This window comes from Homo sapiens, chromosome 2, assembly GCF_000001405.40.
Source record: "Homo sapiens chromosome 2, GRCh38.p14 Primary Assembly".
Taxonomy (NCBI): Eukaryota; Metazoa; Chordata; class Mammalia; order Primates; family Hominidae; genus Homo; species Homo sapiens.
Genome location: NC_000002.12, coordinates 164538520 through 164560083, shown reverse-complemented (window position 1 = coordinate 164560083; position 21564 = coordinate 164538520). Strand labels below are relative to the sequence as shown.

Sequence of the window (21564 nt, the reverse complement as noted above, 5' to 3'; positions counted from 1 at the left end):
TCCTTGAGCAGGTCAAGACTCCAGCTTCAGCTTTTTCATTTGTGAAATGGGAGGATTTCAGTGGATGTTCTCCAGGAACCCTTCTAACCTTTAGTATTTTATGATTCTAAACAGTATAGATTCCATTTCTTTTACAACACTGTGCTCTATGCATGTCTTTCACTGATGTAAAATAAATATTTAGAAAAATGTAAACTAGTACAACCACTATGGAAAACAGTATGGAGATTCCTTTAATAACTAAAAGTAGAACTACCATTTGACCCAGCAATCCCACTTCTGGGTATCTACCCAGAGGAAAATAAGTCATTATACGAAAAGATACTTGCACATTCATGTTTACAGCAGCACAATCCACAATGGCAAAATCGTGTAACCAACCCAAATGCCCATCAGTCAACGAGTGGGTAAACAAACTGGTATATTTATATGATGGAATACTACTCAGCCATAAAGAGGAATGCAGTAATGGCATTTGTAGCAACCTGGATGAAATTGGAGACTATTATTCTAAGTGAAGTGACTCGGGAATAAAAAATCAAACATCATATGTTCTCACTAATATGTGAGAGCTAAGCTATGAAGATGCAAAGGCATAAGAATGATACAATGGACTTCGGGGACTTGGGGGGAAAGAGGGAGCAGGCAAGGGATAAAAGACTACAAATGGTGCAGTATATGCTGCTCAGGTGACGGGTGCACCAAAATCTCACAAATCACCACTAAGGAACTTATTCATGTAACCAAATACCACCTGTACCCCAATAACTCATGGAAAAATAAAATAAAATAAGAAAAGTAAATAAATAAATATTTAGAAAAATGAAGGAAAAGTAAAATTACAAAATGGGTATACATCAGTTGTTCCCAGTGTTTGTTACTGCATGGGAATGTTAGGATCTAGAAAGTGATGTTTTGTACACTATTATAAGTTTATGAAATAATACCCCCAAATGTCCTGGGAAGGTTGAACATAGCATATTTTATTGATTGTATGGCACTTTAAGTTGTAAGAAGCATCATTATTTTATATACTTCCAATAAAACTATAACATACCATTAAGGGTAAGTTACATCCAGGTTTCAGAGAAGTTAAATGTGAAAAAAATGTGCTTTTAAAAAATCAAGGAAATAAGGTAGTTCCTAAAAGGGCTTCAATTGATGCCAGACAACTCAATAATTGCAATAAAGTCTGATGTGTCTTGGGCTCTAGCAAACAGTATCTTTCTCCACCTCACGTTTTCCCTCTCTTCTAAACACTTATTCCACCTCTGCCCTACTACTTGTTCTTCTTTCTCACTGTGTGAATCAATTTTTAACTTTTTCACTTAGACATGTCTTATGGCTGTTCTGGGAATAAACTATTGCTTAAAAACTGAAATGAGATCCTGAAATAACATTGTGTCCAACATAAGCATGGCCAGTGGTATTCTGCTTTAAATATGAATTAGCATTAGCACTTGCAGAGGTTTTCTTGTTTCAAAGATGAATTAGCCCTGGCATCTTAGCAGGAATTGCATGAGTATTAAAAACACTGAAACTTCAGAGAACACAGCTTTGATGAAATCATCGGAAACTTTAGTGTGGGATTTGTGATTTGAACCTCTTTATTATTCATATTGGATTTAGGTCTTAACATGTGTGTCTGTGTGTGTGTGTCTGTATGTGATAACTTAGGATATTTTCTAACTTAGTTGTTAATGTTTGCTTTCTTTTATAATGAAATTGGAGCAGTTTCTTTTATCTTTTTTTCTGCCACATAACAGAGCCAACTGAAAGGGCTTGAATTTCTCTTTGTCAAATTGAACCCCCACTTGAGTTGGAGTCCTTCTTTCTACCTAATAGGAAGAAAGGAGGCCCAAAGAATGAGTACTCTTCATGGCTCTTGGCCTGAGACAAGGAGAGCAGAAAAGGTAAATAATAGAGTAGGAGGATAAAGGTGAATGGAGGGGCTTTAAGGAGATGTCCTGAGCCTCTTCTTGCCTGCAGGCTTTTTTTCTCTTGGTTGGAACCCTAGATGCGGCATGCTGCTGCAGTGTCAGTGCCCCAGGCTATCTGGTGTGACAGTGCTAACTTCCCTTCTGTGCCAAGTTTAGGGCATTTCCAGTAGTGAGACCACTACTCTTTAGCCTGTTGCTGGATGGGAAATTAATGCATCATAAAACATCATCTGTGGATTTTGAATTCATATCCAGGACTCCTGGAAGCTCTCTGTGGATCCCCAGGAACACAAATTCTCTATTTCTGAATCTCTTTAGCCAGGCATGACCCTATAATTTACTGCAGAAATGTAATATCATACAAATCTATACCAGGGCTGGGTTTTTACAGAGCTGGTGTGGAGATGATCCATCTTGCGACCTTAATGATAAGAGCTATACCTCAAAGATTGTGAAAGGACAGAAAGAGCCTTGGTCAGGGGTGACTTGATGGAACTGCCTCACCAAATCCTGAGCTGCCTGCCCTGGTTTCAAATGTGAGAAGGAAGTCAACCTCAATCTGGCTAACCCATTGTAGGTAGGAATGACTTTCTGTTATTGTAGCTGAACCCTTTCCTAAGTGATTAAGTCATCATGTGGATATTTATCCTGATTCTCTTACCACTTTGTAATCATATTCATGTAAAACTGTCATTTTTATTATTAAATAACATTTAATTTTTAAGAATTATTTCTACGTTGCCAACTTTTTAAAAAGCTACCCATCACTTGTGTATCTTGAAAAGCATTTCCTATTGTGGTGGCCCCTGGCTAGTTTGCACTGATGGAAACCAGTGTACCACAGTACCGGGTGAAGGCACCCCCTCCTCAGGCTGCCTGGCACCCATGCTTACTCCCTGTCCTCATAACTTAGCCCTTCTGCTCTCCATTTAGTGTGGTCTGGTTATTCTTTCCTGAGTATTGTTCACTCCTTTCTTCCTCAGTATGTTTGCTCATGTTTGTCCCACACAGGTGTTTTCTTACCTTCTTTCCTTATTCTTTCAGAATCCCAGATATGAAATGGCTCTCAGCAGTCACCTAAGCCACCTTTGTTCAGTCCATAAGTTTCATGAAAATTTGCCTAAATTTTCTCTTTGGTTCACATGTGTCTTTTCTCCCATAGAGGTTTTCAAACTCCGTGAGGTGTCAACACTACCATTTTGGAATTCACTAATACTGTCTCATACAGGGGTGTACATGATGGTTTCTTTCATCACTGAAGGAATCGTTTTGACTGTCGCTGTGTGCCCCACATTTTGCTCACTGCTGGGGATATAAAGAGGAGAAAACAGTGGTCCCTGATGTCATACATCGTTCTTATGGTGAAGGGCAACACGTAGTAATTATAGTTGCACACTTGCATGCTTGCAACAAAGGGCCTGGACCTAAGCTGGAGGGTCTTTGGAAGCTTCCTCCCAGAAATAATGGTTTATCCTAAGATATGAGGGAGCAGAAAAAGTAGAGGGTAGGGAAACCGTGTTCTAAGCACAAGCAGTAGCATGTGCAAGGGCCCTGTGTTGAGAAGGAGCATGACTTTTTCAAGAAACAGAAAAAAATGTAGGATTGGAGTCAGAGGACAGGATTGTAGGGAATAAAGTGAAAGGGGGTACAAGGATGTGGAATAAACCTGTTTGTGTCAATCCTTGTAATTCTGATATTGGTGACAGTATCTGTTTTAAGTAATGTCTTATAACTAATTTAACATGTACTGTTCATGCTCAAGGAAAATGTGTTTTTGACTATCCCTCGCAAGTGGAGAGGATTGGAGGCTTTTCTTGCAACCTGATTTCTCAAAACTATATACTGTTTTTCTCTTAGTAAATATTTGACAGCTAGCAAAATAATACAGGATAGCAATAAGAAAGCAGTGGATATTCTTGAGCTGTTAGGGTCTTTTGGAGCAGTCTTTATTTTTAAAATGCAAAATTTTAAAAACACAATTAGAGATTTGGAATAAGTAATAATGACTACATTGCTTCCCATTCCTTTTCTTTCAAGGGAACTACTGAGTTGCTTAATTCAAGATATCTAAAAATGTCTCTTGTTATCTTAGGACACTGTGTTTCTTATTTATAAGAATGTAAAAATTCAGGACTACTCTGACCCTGATATAAAAATATTTCTCATGAAATATTAGTACATTGCCTATCTATTAGTACATTGCCTATCTATTAAAAATAATAAAGAAAAATATTGAAACATTATAAGCTCTTTTATAATTTTACTGTGGTTAGATGATAAACTTTCAAAGAGCTGTAGAAATAAGCTTAGCTTTAGGACACAGTTCAGAGCAAATTCCTGTGAGCCTTGTTTCTTTTATCTTGTATTAACTATATGTTAACTATACATATATAATTAATAGATACAATACATAAATTAATGAATTTATATTTCTGTTTAAAAATTATATATGTCTCATCATGCTAAGGTCATATTTAAATATGATATTTAAAATAAATTTAAAATAAATATAATATTTAAATTATTTTAAATTGAAGACTAATTAATTAATAGTAATTTAGTTAGGTTTAACTATTGAATTTAAAATTTCCTAAAATAGAAACTTTGACACAGAAGATAACCATAGATAACTATGCCCAAATATCTTTTTCTTTCACTTTTGCTCTTTTTTTTCTTTCTCTTGCTTCATCTTATGGATTCTTACTCATTGTTTTATGTTTAATCCATGCTCATTATTTTACCTGCTGAATGATGATTTCTCTTCTCTCTATTCTTGAAGAAACAAAGAATAAGTGGGGCAAACCTATGGCATAATTAATGACTTTCCAGTCATGGCAGATCCAAAGCCCTCTTCTGCTCCGTGACATTCTCAAACGACCATTGACAATGCTGAATTCATTTCAAATATTCTAGAATGAATTCACATTGAAAAGGATCTGGCTATCCCATGCCATCCCATTCCTTGGAGTCAGCAAGGAGGAGGAGAAAGGCTGACTGCTTAGCCTTTGCTCACTTTTTTCCTTAGTTATAGCTTTCCAAATATGTTCTTAGAATTTCAGGTGATGCAGAGAAATACTAAGTATGCTTTGGGAGCAAGGTGATACATACTGACTTGACTTTATTTTGTTTATTTATTTTTAGAAATGGCCTTTGACTTTCATTTTAAATATTTTGTCGCTTTTAGTCTAGAGGCTTTAAAAGGCCTCAAGTTTTTTTTTCTGAAAAGTTACCATTTCTTCTTGTGCTTTAACATTGTTGCATCTAGTATTCTAAAAATGGGTTGTGTTAGTTTTTTTAATCTCTTTCCTCCACTTACTTTTTATGAAGAGCAGTCTAGGGGAGGAGTTGATGTGTAAAGTGTATAAACATGCCTTGATAGAATGTCAGCCAAAACAGAGATTTGCTTCACCCACATTCCAGCATATCCCTGCAAGGGCTGCAGTGACTACGTATTAAATTTGCATTGCTAGGTGCCATGTGCTCCTAGGGCAGTTTTTGAAGCTGTAAACTACTCCAAAGGCCAAGGTTGTTGTGATTGTCAGGATTAGAGTGACACAGAAGGGCTTTCCAACACAGGCAGTGTGTACAATCTTGGCCTTCTTTGGACGCTCTGTTTATGCTGGTGGGTTGTTATAGATAAACATTATCAGTGCTATGTTTCTTTTGCTAGTCAACTTTCAATCCTTTGATGGAACAAAATTTCTTCCTATTCTTCTTTAGGGTCCAGGAAGAATTTCTTCCTGTTGGCATCCAATTTCAAAAGATCTTGTAAATAAATTGATATGAATAATATACTCCTCACTCTAAAGCAAGCTATGAATTTGGGCCACTGCACTGGAAATGTATAATATCCTTTTATTAAAGAAATGTATAATATCCCTTTATTAAATAGCATGATTATATAATGTTTAAATTTTTTTTTACCTTTTAGTATGTATAGGAAATAGAATACTAATATTTTGCTTCAGTGGTTCTTAAGAACAGCTCTGCTATTTGTTTTTTACATGATCACAAAAGTCTTTAACTTAGTTTTAACCCATATAGTCATGCAGTTTTTGTGATGAGTTGAATTCTTCTTAAATAGGAAGGTTTAGTGTAGTAATTCTTTGGGCAAGAGGCATATTCAACTCTACTAGAGAGTTAAGGCTTCAGTTGTCTTTTCCTTTTATATATATATATATTCTTTATTGAGTCAGAGTGTTGCTCTTGTTGCCCAGGCTGGAGTGCAGTGGCGCGATCTTGGCTCACCGCAACCTCCGCCTCCTGGGTTCAAGCGATTCTCCTGCCTCAGCCTCCTGAGTAGCTGGGATTACAGCCACTCCTGGCTAATATTGTATTTTTAGTAGAGATGGGGTTTCTCCATGTTGGTCAAGCTGGTCTCGAACTCCTGACCTCAGGTGATCTGCCCGCCTTGGCCTCCCAAAGTGCTGGGATTACAGGTGTGAGCCACCGCACTGGCCCTTTCATTTATTTTAAGGAGGAATAAATAGAAATTAAATGAGACTTTTTAACAAAGGCATCCCATTCATCGTATAAGGAATTTTGATAATTACAGACTATATCTAAGAGATGACAGAGATTTACTGCGTGGAATATCAACCTAAATATAATTCCGTTATTCATAGATGAACGTGTATTTTGGATAAGTGTGAGCATTAAATAGGATTTTTAAAAAATAAGGGCTTGAAATGGATTTCAAACAAAAATATTAAATTTTTCTCTCAGCAGGTTTTATTCATTCTAACAATGAAATATATGCACTTATTCCAGAAATTCAAGTTGGCCTAAGCCCCTCTAAATTTGTGCATCTCAATTCTTGTCAACTTATGTCTAAATTTGCAGTGACATAGTCTGAAGAAAATAGTGGCATATCCTGATTATTTAGTCACTTTCTCATTTTATCCAACTTTACCTCTTGCTCTTTTCTAGCCCTTTTTTAAAAAAAATTGGTTTAGCCTTCAGAATGTCTCTAGTTTTTCATTTTCTTAGCTTCTCTGAAATAAGAGATAGAACATGCAAAATAAGAGGCATACTTCTGTTACCCCAGGTGATGAGAGCTTACTGTAGGAAAACATATGGGGGTAGTCAGGAGGTGCAGAGAACATTTTCAGCAACCCCTAGATCATTCTTCAGGCCCCCCATTTCTTGGCATGGAATGTGCAGCAGGGAACAGAAACAGTGATGTTATTGCTGCATATGAAAGAGCAGTCCCAGAGTTGGTTCCTCTTGTTCTCTCAGGAGTGGTCATCTTCACATCATCTTTGGCAGAAGCACCCACGAGTGTTTAGTCCAGGCAGTTGTAAGCACAGCAGCATGCCTCAGAATTCCATCAGTTTTCTAGTATAGATGCACATACTGAAGATATATCCTTAAGAGCAGTGGCCTACCAAGATGCAAACATGAGAAACACTGAGACTCCAAATAGACCTTGACATCATAGGGCATGACATGTATTCACCAAAATTTGAATGAAGTGAAAATTCAGAGAGAATAGCATCTGATTTTGACAGTGTGTTTTTATGACCTTTTTCATATGACTTAGTATCAGCCTCAATGACTTCAAAAACTCAGAACTGCCATATTGAGTCAGTTCCTACCTAGGAATTTGTATGATGAGAAAGTATTTGTCTCTTACTCATTGAGAATATTTTTAATTTTCTGAGCATAAAAATGGGAATTAATTATATACTCAAAGGCAGAAAATACTTTTCTATTAAAATTTGCCATTATATAGAGTACCTACCATTTACAATGCACTGTGATAGGCTTTGTAAGTGGTACAAAGTTCCCTCGCTCCACATATCTGTATTAAGTCATGTATCACCCTGGGGTAGGTTCCTGTGATACAATGATAAATTATGAATAAAGAGAGACTTTTCTTAAAAGAGTTTTTGCTAGGAGGGTGATACAGTTTGGATATTTGTCCTCTCCAAATCTCATGTTGAAATTTGATCGCCAATGTTGGAGGTGGAGCTTAGCAGGAGGTGTTTGGGTCATGGGGACAGATTCCTCATGAATGTCCTGGTGCTATATTCATGGGATTGAGTGAGTTTTCACTCTTAGCTCCCAAGAGATCTGTTTGTTAAAAAGCATCTTACACCGCCCTCCCCTCCCTCTTGCTTTCTCTCTTGCCATGTGACACCCCTGCTCCCGCTTTGTCTTCTGACATGACTGTAAGCATCCTGAGCTCCTTACCAGAAGCAGATGCCAGCACCATCCTTCTTTTCCAGCCTGCAGAACCATGAGCCGAATAAACCTCTTTTCTTTATAAATTACCCAGCCTCAGATATTCCTTAATATCAGCACAAAACAGTCTAAGACACATAGCTGGGGAGAAAGACATGCAAACAAAAAGTTACAAAATGAGAGCACATAAAAGAGGCGCATTATGAACCCTTGGACAGTCAGGGAAGGCTTTCTGGAGCAAGTGTGATTGGAACCAGGGCCAAATTTAGGTGGAAGTTTGCCAGAGAAAGCATGTTGTTTGTGAGCGGAGCACTGAAATTTCTTCCAGGTAGAAGGAATCACACGTGCAACTAAGAAAGAATGGTTTGCAAGTGTTTGTCTTATTTGGTTTGGGTCACATAGTGATCTATTCCATAGGACACTAATCCTATTTATAGGGGCCCCACCTGCATAATGTAATTACCTCCCAAAGGCCCCACTTCCAGATATCATCATCTGGGACTAGGGATTCAACATGTGAATTTTGGAGGGTACAAACATTCAGTCTATTGCATTATGACTTACTCTGTGTGGGCCCCATTTGCCCACAGTTGTTCTTTTAGTAACAGTAGCAGCTCCAGCCTACATTTTCCCAGGCTTAGGTCCAGTAGAAAAGGAAGTGTGTGCCAAGGTTATGTGAACATATATCTAAATTGGCTCTAACTGCTTCTGATTAAGTCACATGCTCATCTGTTAAATAATCACTGTTGTCTGGGTACTGATTAGTCAATATAGAAAACATCTTCCACCCTGGAGCTGAGGCGATGGTGCACTGATAAACTGGCTCTAAAAATAAAAATTTTAAAAAGACCTTATATGTAAAATTTACTGGTTTCTATCATATAAATACTTCCATCATGGCTGATTTTAAGATGCCTGGCTTTTAGAGCTCCTGAATATTTAATAATCAGCTCTTGCAAGCCAGTTCCAGCAGCTCCAGCAAACTGTCACTGAGCTGAAGGTGGAGCTACCAGAGCACCAAGTCTGCTGGTGAGGGAGGGAGTGGTACTCTAAAAGGAAATGTATCTATCTATCAGAAGAGGAGTAGGCGACTGGTAGACAAAGCCAAGTAATTTTGCACGTACCACTGAAGAATTTTTAAGTGCTCTTATATCATTTTCTTGAATAACATTTTTAGGGACCATATAATATTCCATTCTGTGAAAATACTGTAGTTTGCATTTTTTTTTTTATTGTTGGATGTTTAGGTCAATAGAATGACACATAATGCTTTGCTGGACATGTAATGCCTAAAGCCATTTTCCATATTTAGTTCAGATGTTTAAAGTAGTTTGCTTAAGAAAAATTGCTGGGTCAAAGGAATAGACCATTTAATACTTCTGGTAAATATTCTCCAATAGATGTACAAAATAGTTTTACCACTTTATATCATTGTAAGAGAGAGCAACTATTTCATTGCACTGTCATTAAGTATAATTTTTAAAAGATAGGACAGAATTGATATATCATTTTAATTTATAACATTAGCTGCTGTAATAGATAAATCCTAATTCACAGTGAGTTAACAGAATAGAAGTTTATTTCTTGCTCATGTCAGAGTCTTATATGGGTTTTCATAGTTAGGCGTCTTCTATGTGGTTATTTAGGAACAAAGGCTCATTCTGTCTTATGGCTTTCCTTTCCTCTAGGCCTTTGTAGTCATTCTGTTCAGTGGGAGAATGGCAAAAAGCAATGGAGGACAATATGTAGGAGATTTTCATGGGCCAGGAAGTGTAACATTCTATATGCTTACATTCCATTGACTAAAATTCAATTCTTTGGCCACAACTAATTGCAGGGGAGAAAAGAGAAAGGATTGGGTGAACATCTGGCCAATTTTTACTGAAATATTCATACCTGAGATGGAGAAATCTTTTCATAAAGTCTGATTCTATTCCCTCCTTGTACTACTTGAGTATATCTGCAATAAATCACCCATGTTACTAGGGTTATTTACGGAATTTAAATATAGAATATGAAATTTTATTTTATTTTATTTTATTTTATTTTATTTTATTTTATTTTATTTTATTTTATTTTATTTTATTTTATTTTTAGATGGAGTCTCACTCTGTCACCTAGGCTGGAGTGCAGTGGCACGATCCTGGCTCACTGCAACCTCCGCCTCCCAGGTTCAAGTGATTCTTGTGCCTCAGCCTCCCAAGTAGCTGGAATTACAGGCATGTACCACCATGCCCAGCTAATTTTTTATATTTTTAGTGGAGATGGGGTTTTGCCATGTTGGCCAGGCTGGTCTTGAACTCCTGACCTCATGTGATCCGCCTGCCTAAACCTCCCAAAGTGCTGAGATTACAGATGTGAGCCACTGTGCCCAGCTATAATATTGATAAGAGATACATAGCTTTTTCATAGACCAAAGTGGTGGGGAAGTAATACTAAATAGTTATTGAATGACCTTTAGTTTAGACACTGAAGAGAATGAAAGTTGTCGGACAAAGTAGCTTTGGCACATAAACAAGTCTTGGATAGATAACATTCATTCAGTGTATAAGAAAATTAAATGTAGAAGACACTGTATAAGGAATTATAACTGATTAATCTTTGCTGACTTACCAGAATGATATTTTAATAAAATATTTTAATAAAAAGGCTACCTGTGGATTGGGAAAAAGTATTTGCAAACCACATGTAATTATAAGGGTTAATATCCAAAATTTATAAATAACTCATACAACTCAATATCAGAAAAACAATTAACCCAATTAAAAATGAGCGAAGGACTGGGTGTGGTGGTTCATACCTGTAACCCTAGCACTTTGGGAGGGTGAGGAAGGCAGATCACCTGAGGTCAGAGTTCGAGACCAGCCTGACTAACGTGGCGAAAGCCCGTCTCTACTAAAAAAAAATACAAAATTAGCTGGGTGTGGTGGCGCATGCCTGTAATCCCAGCTACTCAGGAGGCTGAGAGAGGAGAATCATTTGAACCTGGGAGGTGGAGGCTACAGTGAGCCGAAATCGCACCATTGCACTCCAGCCTGTGCAACATGAGTGAAAGAATGAAACTCCTTCAAAAAAAATAAAAAAAGCAAAGGGCCTGAATAGACATAAAAATGGCTAACAGGTATATGAAAAGGTGGTCAACATCACCAATCATCAGGTAAATGCAAATCAAAACCACTATGAGATATTACCTCATACCCATTAGGATGGCTGTTATCAAAAAGACAAGAGATAACAAGTATTGGTGAAAGTGTAGAAAAAAGGGAATGCTAGTACACTGTTGGTGAGAATGTGGATTGATACGGTCATTCTGAAAAACAGTATGGATATTTGTAAAGAAATTAAAAATAGAACTGCCATATATGACCCAGCAATCCCTCTCTTGGATATATACCCAAAGGAGTTTAAGTCAGCATGTCACAGAGATGCCTGCACTCCCATGTTCATTGCAGCATTATTTACAATAGCTAAGATATGGAAACAACTTAAGTACCATGTCCCACTGATGGGTGTATATTGGAGCATATATACATAATTTATTTTATATTTGCATTACACACACACACACACATACAGATACACACAATGAAATACTATTCAGCCTTAAAAAATAATATGCTGCCATTTGCTACAACATGGATGAACCCAGAGGACATTAAGCTTAGTGAAATAAGTCCTTCTTTCTTTTCTAACAGAAGGAAAAATATTGCATGATCTCAGATGTGCTGTCTAAAAATAAGTCAAATATGCAGAGATAGAGAACAAAACAGTGGTTACCAAGGACAGTGGTGGGGTGGAGGGAAATGAGGAGATGTAGATCAAGGATACAAAGTAGCAGATGTGTGGGATGAACACATCTAGAGCTCTAATGCACAACATGAGAACTATGGTTCATAATAGTGTATTGAATTTGGAATTTTGAGAAATGAGTAGATTTTAGCTGCCTTTGCCACACTTGCAAGAAAATGGGTAGCTATGTGAGGTGATAGACATGTTAATTTGTTTTACTATATAACCATTTTGCTATTTATTTATATATATCTCATAATATCGTGTTGTATACTTTAAATATATACAATAAAATTTATTAAAAACACAAACAGGAATATTTTAGGTCTTTTTCTTGTTTCTACCTACACAGGTGATTAAAGTATACAGTGAAGATGAAACCAGCAGGGCTTTAGATGTACCCAGTGACATAACGGCTCGAGATGTTTGTCAGCTGTTGATCCTGAAGAATCATTACATTGATGACCACAGCTGGACCCTTTTTGAGCACCTGCCTCACATAGGTGTAGGTAAGGATACGGAGTTATTGTCTCACATCATTGCTTTTCTATTTCTTGTTCAGCTCCCTCTTGAACACCAATAATTCTTAGATTTGGTGTTTTGAGATAATTTTCTATATCTTGTAGGTGATCCCAGTTCCTTTTCATTCTTTTTTCTTTTTTTCCTTCTGATCATGTATTTTCAGATAGCCAACTCATTGATGTTTTCCTCTGCTTGATCCATTCTGCTGTTGAGAGCCTCTAATGAATTTTTCAGTTCAGAAAATGTAGTTCTCAGGTTCACAATTTGTTGTATTTTTTAAAAAATTCAATCTCATTGTTAAATTTATCTTATAAATATCTGAATTGATTTTATCAGTTTCATCCTGGCAGTCACTGAATTTCCTTAAAGGTGCTATTTTAAATTCTTGGTCAGAGCTCACATATCGCTGTCTTGCTGGGGTCACTAACTGGTTCCTTGTGTCTGTTTAGAGAGATCAAGGTTCCCTGTTCGCTGTTGTTTTTGTGGATGTGTGTCTGTATCTTGGCACTGAAGGATTAGTTATTTATTCGAGCCTTCTTTACCTGGCTTCTTTTGTTCTTTATTGGATATATTCCTTAGAGGTTTTTGCCCATAGGTCATTGCCTTCTTTTTGGCTCTAGGTGGTGCCTTAAACCTAGGTTCGCCTTGGCTCTAGTGAAGGTCAGAGCACTGCACTTTCCAAATGGGAGAGGTTCCCAAAGGGGATATCCCAACAGTTTGGGACAGCTGGCTAGGGACCCATGGCCAGGGGACCTGTGGGATGAACCTCCTATCGTGTGGTGCTGCTGAACAGCCACTCTGATTTGGTGTCTCCTTTGGCTGGGTTGCAGAGCAGAGTTTCTGGGGCTGGGAATGGTTGTCCTGCCCCCTTTTATGTCTCTGCCTGTCCTCAGGGATATTTCTCCCATCAGGCAATCACGATGCTTCCTATGATTAAGACAGAGGCAGATCTTCTGCCAGGGAACCCAAGATGGGGTAAGAGGTTGTCTACCTTAATCTCACTTTTTCTGGTGTAAACACAGTGAGTTGGGGGAAAGTTTTTCACAAGCTTGTGGGAGGGGCATCGTGGTGGATATGGAAGTTTGATTCTCTTACCATCTGGAGCTTTTCTTTACTTTCCTGTCGCCCGTGGAACTGCCTCATCTTCATATTTGAGTTCTGGGATACTTCTGGGGAAAATCTCAGTGCTATTTATTTGGTTTTGGTTTTCTGTTGGGGAGAGTGAAGCCAGTGGCTTCTTTGCCATTATTTTTCAGGAAGTCCTGCTTTTCTGTTTATTTTAGTATAGATCCTATGGTGAAGATTTTCTTCCGAGGTACAAAAATAGAAAAGAATTATGAATAATCATTTCTTTATTCTTTTATTTTTTGTTATTTGTAGTCACAAGAGAAAGAAAGTAGCGCAAAGTAGAAACAAGCCTAGAAATTTTTATAATTTACCCACCCCTCTTCATTTAAAGATCTATGGGAATTTTAGACCTAAAACAGCTCAAATTGATGGAAGAATACATTTCATAATAATTTTATTAGCACAATGCAAAGTGTTTGATTTATTTAAAAAAGTAAGCTGTCATTTGGACCACATTTTGAGTCAATTGTAGCACAGACAGGTACAAATATCCATAGCAGTGGTTCTCTTTATGGTAGTGTAGACCCTAAATTTTTCTTGAAGAAATAAGTAAGTCCTTCACATTTTTAAGACATAAACACAAGGAGTAGCCTCTTAAAATGTTTTATTTGGAAATGCATCTCTATTGTGAAGTGTGAAGGGCTTAAAAATATTCTTTTAGTATGTTCTAAAGAATTCGTTCTACTAGAGTGAGACAGGATTTGGCAACAATTTTGTCCCCTGATTTCTTATTTTTATAGATTTGTTTTCAAAACATGTTTACATATAAGTAGATAAGACAGGAAGGAGTTCGTTATGGCAGTGTCATTCGATTCTTTGAACTCCTTATTAGTTTCCTGTGGTTGCTGTTCCAAATTACCACAAACTCGTCTTAAAGCAACAGAAATTTATTCTCACATTTTGGAGGCCAGAAGACTGAAATCCATATCACTGGAGTGAAATCAAGGTGTCGTCAGGGATGTGTGTCCTCTGGAAGCTCTAATTTCTTGCCTCTTCCAGCTCTGGTGGCTGCCAGCATTTGTTGGCTTGTGGCTGCATCACCTAATCTCTGCCACTGTGGTCATATTGCTTTCTGCTCTTCTGTCTGTGTCAAGTCTCCCTCTTTCTTATAAAAGCGGTAACATTTCGGGCCCACCCAGATAATTCAGGATAATCTCCATTTCAAGATCCTTAATTTAATACTGTCTGCAAAATTTTTTTTCCACGTGACATTCACAGGTTCTAGGAATTAAGATGTGGTTATCTTTCGGGGGCTATAGTTCAGCCTGCCACAAACTTCATTGCATTATATGTTTAACAACTTTTAGTAAGAAATCATCAAAATCATTTTAAATAATTTATCAGTGACAGCTCCATTAGTTGCTTCAATTTGTTCAGACTTGTGAAAGAATTTTATACATAGTCATTAGAGTCATTTACTTTCTAGCATAGCTGCCAATATACAAAATCGTCCCTTTGTTTGATGCATTCAAGAGTTTATGCCTCAGAGCAATGTGCCAATGAAAGGTTCTGTTCAAATGAACATCCTTTCTCTTATGAAATGGAATTAAAAATGATTTTGGCAGAAAAGGTGTGTTCTTAGAAGGATTCATTTTTTAAAGATTTGGGAAGTGGTTTTTTTGAACACTACATGCATTCCCTGAACCATTTAGAAAATGTTTGTACTTCTGATTTGACAACTGGTGTCCTAGGACATGTCAGAACCTCGTGAAGGGGATAGAGTAAGGCCTGTGGAGAGGAAGCTAGAATTGTTCCACGGTATCCTCAGCTGATAGCTGATGAGCTACAATAGTGCAACTGACTTTGACAGCTCAGCCTAGATAGTTATCAACCTGCCAAGGACGCTTGCTTCTAAAGGTATGTCATACTGGCCAATATGACTTGTTGCCTCATCTTCTAGGACAGAAGAGGCTCAACATATATTTTCTTCATTGCCACTTGTGACTAGTTTAACTTCTATACATGATAATTAATCTCCTAGAAGTATGGTGTTAATTCTCAATAGATATCTGCCCTATTCCAAGCTATTTCATTTAGCTCCTAATTAGCATAATATATTATTACAGTATTTTATATTCTTAAATTTTTCTTTCGGGGGGACTTAAATTTTTTTTTGTTATAGTCACTACCATTTATCTCTAACAAATAGCTTTGCAGTTCAGTAATAAAAATCTGCTCTGTAAATCAAGAAGTGTTTTTCCCTGAGAACACTGCAAATTATTTGTATTAAGGAATAAAACACACAGGTCTTTTAATGCAAAAGCTGAAAGTGGAACACTGGGAATTAATTTGATCCACATACTAAATTTAAACTTTTAGGCATCAAGTAGCAATAGAAGTTTATTTCTTTATTACTGTATTTTCTGGAAACTGCTGAAATAAAATCAAAGATATGAGCATATTCTCATGACTTCATCAACCATGCATTAGACCAAAGCTCATAAGAAAGAATTTTATTTCCAGAGCCTTCTTGTGTTTTTGTTTTCCTTTGGTTTTTCACTCAGATTATATGTTTAAACAGAACAATTGAAAACATTAATGCTACCCCAAAACTAACATGTATTAGATTTAATAGCTTCCAGTTCTTTACCGATGTAAGAGGAGAGTAATCACTATTGAGGTACTGTCATCTTCCTCAGCACAAAATATAAACAGTTTTGTCTTTAAAATGTTTTTTGTTTTAGTTTTGCCTTTTTGCTTAGTTTATTATAATCTTGCAATATCTATTCAGTCTAATTGTGGTAGGAAGTAAAATGTTCAATTTAATTTGCATATTTAAATGAATGGAAAGAACTACAGTGGTTTTTTTCTCCTTAAATGTGATATGCAGCTACAGATACTCTTTGTTAACAGAATAAACCGCTGACATCTTTACTGCAAGTCTTCTGTGAGTGCTACTGATGTAAAGAACCAAAGGATGAACTATTTTCCAGAACTTTAGTGATCAGCTAGTCGGCTCTGCATATTGTTTAAGAACCATTCTTGCACTCTTTTTGTCCAAAATGATGAATTTTCAATAAATAAAATTATATTTGGTTTTCTGTTCCTGTGTTAACTTGCTTAGGATAATGCCCTTATTGAATAGGGAGTCCAGCATCCATGATGGCTGTAGGAGTGTGGCTTTATTTCTTTTTATGCAGGACATGATTTCATTCTTTTTTTTATGGCTTCATAGTATTCCATGATTTATATGTACCACTTTTTTTTTTTTCTTTTCTGAGACAGAGTCTTGGTCTGTCTCCCATGCTGGAGTGCAGTGGCGCGATCTTAGCTCACTGCAACCTCCGTCTCCCGGGCTCAAGCTATTCTTGTGCATCAGCCTTCAGAGTAGCTGGGATTACAGGCACATGGCACCACAGCCAGCTATTTTTTTTTTAATTTTATTTTTAGTAGAGATGGGGTTTCACCATGTTGGCCAGGCTTGAATTCAACTCCTGAGGTCAGGTGATCCACCCACCTTGACCTCCCAAAGTGCTAGGATTACAGGTGTGAGCCACCATGCCTGGCCTATATGTACTGCATTTTCTTTATCCAGTCCACTGTTAGTGATTCTGTGTCTTTGCTATTGTGAATAGTGCTGCAATGAATGTAAGAGTGCAGGTGTCTTTTTATTTATTTTGGATGTATGCCCAGTAATGGGATTGCCGGGTTGGATGATAGTTCTTTTTTAAATTTTTTGAGAAATCTCCAAACTACTTTCCACAGTGGCTGAACTAATTTACATTCCACCAGCAGTGTATAAGCATTCCCTTTTCTCTGCAGCCTTGCCAATATCTGCTGTTTTTTTTACTTTTGATGATAGCCATTCTGACTGATGGGAGATGGTATCTCATTGTGGTTTTGATTTGCATTCCTCTGATGATTAGTGATGTGGAGGAATTTTTCATGTTTGTTGGCTACTTGTATGTCTTCTTTCAAGAAGTGTTGATTCGTGTCCTTCACCACTTTATAATGGGGTTGTTTTTTGTTTGTTGAATTAGGTTCATTATAGATTCTAGATATTAGACCTTTGTTGGATGCATAGTTTGCAAATATTTTCTCCCATTCTGTAGGTTGTCTGTTTAATCTGTTGATAGTTTCCTTTGCTGTTCAGAAGCTCTTTAGTTTAATTAGGTTCCACTTGTCTATTTTTGTTTTTGTTGCAATTGCTTTTGAGGACATAGTCATAAATTCTTCCTCAAGGCTGTTGTCCAGAATGGTGTTTCCTAGGTTTTAATCTTTTAAATCTTTAATCCGTCCTGAGCTAATTTTTGTATGTGGTGCAAGGTAGGGGTCCACTTTCATTCTTCTGTATTTGGCTAGCCAGTTTTCCCAATACCATTTATTGAATAGGGAGTCCCCTCCTCATTGATTATTTTTGTCAACTTTGTCAAAGCTCAGATGGCTGTAGGAGTATGGCTTTATTTCTGGGTTCTCTGTTGTGTTCCATTGGTCAATATGTCTGTTTTTGTACAAGTATCATGCTGTTTTGATTACTGTAGGATTATAATATGGTTTGAAGTGGGGTAATGTGACCCCTCCAGCTTTGTTTCTTTGCTCAGGATTACTTTGACTACTTGGTCTCTTTTTGGGTTCCGTATTAAGTGGGAGCTAAACATTGGATACTCATGGACATAGAGATGGCAACAATAGACACTGGGGGCTACTAGGGGAGGAAGAGGTGGGAGGAAGGGTTGAAAAACTAACTGTCGAGTACTGTGCTCACTTTCTGGGTGACGGGTGCGATTGTATCCAGACCTCAGCATCACACAGTATACCCATGTTAAAAACTTGCATATATATATATGTGTGTGTGTTTCTTGAATTGAAATAAAAGTTGAAATTATAAAAAATAAATAAATAGAATTGTAAAGGGAAGGGCATAGTATCTATTTATTTAAATTTAAATTATTTATTTAATTTTTTTTAGAGATAGGGTCTCTTTTGCCTGAGGTGGAGTGCAGTGGTGGAGTCATGGCTCACTGCAGCCTCAGATTCCTGGACTCAAACAATCCTCCAGCCTCAGCCTCTGTTATTATTATTATTATTTATTATTATTATTTTTTGGAGACGGAGTTTCACTCTTGACACCCAGGCTGGAGTGCAATGGCGCAATCTTGGCTCACTGCACCCTTCGCCTCCCAAGTTCAAGTGATTCTCCTGCCTCAGCCTCCCAAGTAGCTGAGATTACAGGCACCCACCACCACGCCCAGCTAATTTTTGTATTTTTTAAACTAGAGTCAGGGTTTCACCATGCTGGCCAGGCTGGTCTCGAACTCCTGACCTAAGGTGAACCACCCCACCTCGGCCTCCCAAAGTGCTGGGATTACAGGCGAGAGCCACCACGACTGGCCTATTATTTTAAAAAATATTTTAAATACAAAAATAATCTATCTCATTGTAAATACCTCAAAAATCATGAAGTAAACAAAATTATTCATAATTTCAAGACCGAGATAACTAATGTTAACATTTTTTAAAACTCTTTAATCAGTTTCTCTACTTTAACATAGTTGCTATATGTATTAACTCTTATAGACTACCTTCTTTTTCTTTTTTCTTTTGTGCACTTAAAATATATCTTGAGTATTTGTAGTTTTTTACTTGTCATTTTACAGATTCCACAAAAATCAGTAACTCCTCTTGCCTTCTCTGGCTGCGTTACCCAAACAGTTTAGCAAATATTTATTGACAATTTTGTACCAAGCCTATATTTTGCTGTAGATTCTGGGGATGCAGTATGAGCAAAACAGACAAAAAGTATTGCCCTTGTGAGTTTGCATTTTCACTGGGAGAGAGACAGGAAACAAGGCCTAATATTTGTTATCCCGTAGAGGATGATAAGCTCTGGGGAGGGAAAGCAGGAGGAAAGAGGGAGAGTGAGTGCTAGAGCAGAAGGGAGATGTGCTTTATTTTTTATTTATTTATTTAGAGACCGAGTCTCACTCTGCTCCCCAGGCTGGAGTGCAGAGGTGTAATCTCAGCTCACTGCAACCTCCACCCCCCAGGTTCAAGTGATTCTCCTGCTTCAGCCTCCCAAGTAGCTGGGATTACAGGAGCCTGACACCACACCCAGCTAATTTTTGTATTTTTAGTAGAGACAGGGTTTCACTATCTTGGCCAGGCTGGTCTTGAACTCCTGACCTCATGATCCACCCGCCTCGGACTCCCAAAGTGCTGGGATTACAGGTGTGAGCCACCACAACCAGCTGGGAGATGCACTTTAAAGAGGCATCAGAGAAAGCCTCCCTGACGGAGTGATGTTTGAGTAGAGAAATGAAGCACGTAGCAGGCAGGCTGTGCAATTAAGTGGAAGATTGTTCTAGACAGAGGGAACAGCAAGTGGAAAGGCCTGGACGTGGCAGTGTGCTTGTGTTCAGGAAGCAGCCTAGGGGCCATTGCACCTGGAGTGGAGTCAATAAGGTGGAAGGTAATGGGAGAGGACATCACAGAGTTGCCCCAGGACCAGATCGTGTAGGGTCTCATAGGCCAAGAAGTGGGCCTGGCATTTACACTGAGTGAGAGAAAAAGCAAGGGGAGGTCTTTGAGTCAGAGAAGAATATGATGTGATTTAGTTTTAAAAGTATACTACTAAGGAGACCAGAATGCAAGATTTGACCTTTTATTTTGCTTTTCCATCAGACTACCTGTGGCTCCCTGGAATGATCCCCACCTATCTGTCATTTCTACTAGCTGTACATGCAGCCATTGTACCATCTTCACACGTGGTCTGTTTATGAGATTTAGTGTTTGTGAGATCCTGAGGCCTCATAGGTAAGGATATTTTGACTTATAGGATAGATGAGAGTTGAGGGTTTTCTGCACTTTAGCTCACTTTTAGTGACCAAGATAAGCTTAGGCCAGTTTCAGAGACATTCCGAGTTGTGAATACATATGCTACTATCGTTGCTTCTCATCTGTCTAAACCATATCACAAGCTACTAAAAGCAGAAGGGGGAATACTTGAAATTCAAAATGTGGTAAGTTCCTGAACCTGAAGTCTAATTTCAGAGTTAAATTTTCTGTGGCAAAGGAAACTTCAATCTTATTAGTATTTTTTTTTTCCGAGATGGAGTCGCCGTCTGTCGCCCAGGGTGGAGTACAGTATGTGATACTGGCTCACTGCCTCCTCCGCCTCCCAGCTGCAAGTGATTCTTGCGCCTCAGACTCCTGAGTAGCTGGGATTTCAGGCGTGCACCATCACGCCTGGCTAATTTTTGTATTTTTAGTAGAGATGGGGTTTCACTATGTTGGCTAGGCTGGTCTTGAACTCCTGACCTCAAGTGATCCATCTGCCTTGGCCTCCCAAAGTGCTGGGATTACAGGCGTGAGCCACCACGCCCGACCGTTATTAGTATTTTTAATATAAATGCATATGTGTGATAGCTACTACTAGTGTGCATAGAGTATGTATTTTAATATCCATTTACATGCAGGAATACAAAGATCTAGATTCCATTAGATTCTGTAATCTGCATTTTCCACTGAAGCAAGTTGGTTTCTTCCCACCACAATATTTCAAGCAAATGTTCCTGAGATTCTGCGGTCGGTTTGCCTCTGTCTCACTCTACATCTCTCTCAGGAATGCTATAATTTAAATTGCAAACCACCAGGAAAACTTTCGTATAAACGTTCCTAACCCAGGTGGTAATGAAATTACTGAGATTGAACTGAGCCAACCCAGTTCACCTTATAGCAGAGCCAGATATTTATTTTGGCTGAGCGAGAGAGAATCATGCTAAAAGTTACCTGTTTTTGAATTTGTACAAAACATGAATTGTATAATAATACTATGTTTGGAACTTTGAATGCAATGTCCATGTTTCATATCCTCTACCTGTAATTATTAATATATGGCTGCTGAGAATTTTAATAGGCAGAGTCAGTCATGGAAGACAACTAAATATCTTGATTTTGTTATGAATCTCTGAATGGCCTGATTTTGGATCATATTATTATATGGTTCTACTTGTACACACACTTTGACAGACATTGAATTTAAAATGTCAGCACATCAACA

The 21564-nt window shown here is 37.8% G+C and overlaps 1 protein-coding gene across 6 annotated transcripts in view; it reads left to right on the top strand.

The window, feature by feature from the left end:
* The window catches only part of GRB14 (growth factor receptor bound protein 14), a 129066-nt gene that overhangs the window by 61399 nt on the left and 46103 nt on the right, over nt 1–21564 (top strand). For 5 of the 6 annotated variants that reach the window (XR_427085.4, NM_004490.3, NM_001303422.2 and 2 more), the window contains one exon: nt 12268–12424. Coding sequence is in view for 4 of the 6 variants with exons in the window: in NM_004490.3 (NP_004481.2) it covers nt 12268–12424 (157 nt within the window). In the remaining 2 variants the exon portion in view is untranslated. Of the gene's footprint in view, nt 1–12267; nt 12425–20186; nt 20319–21564 lie in introns of those variants that run through there. The other variant, XM_047444013.1, reaches the window with a different exon arrangement.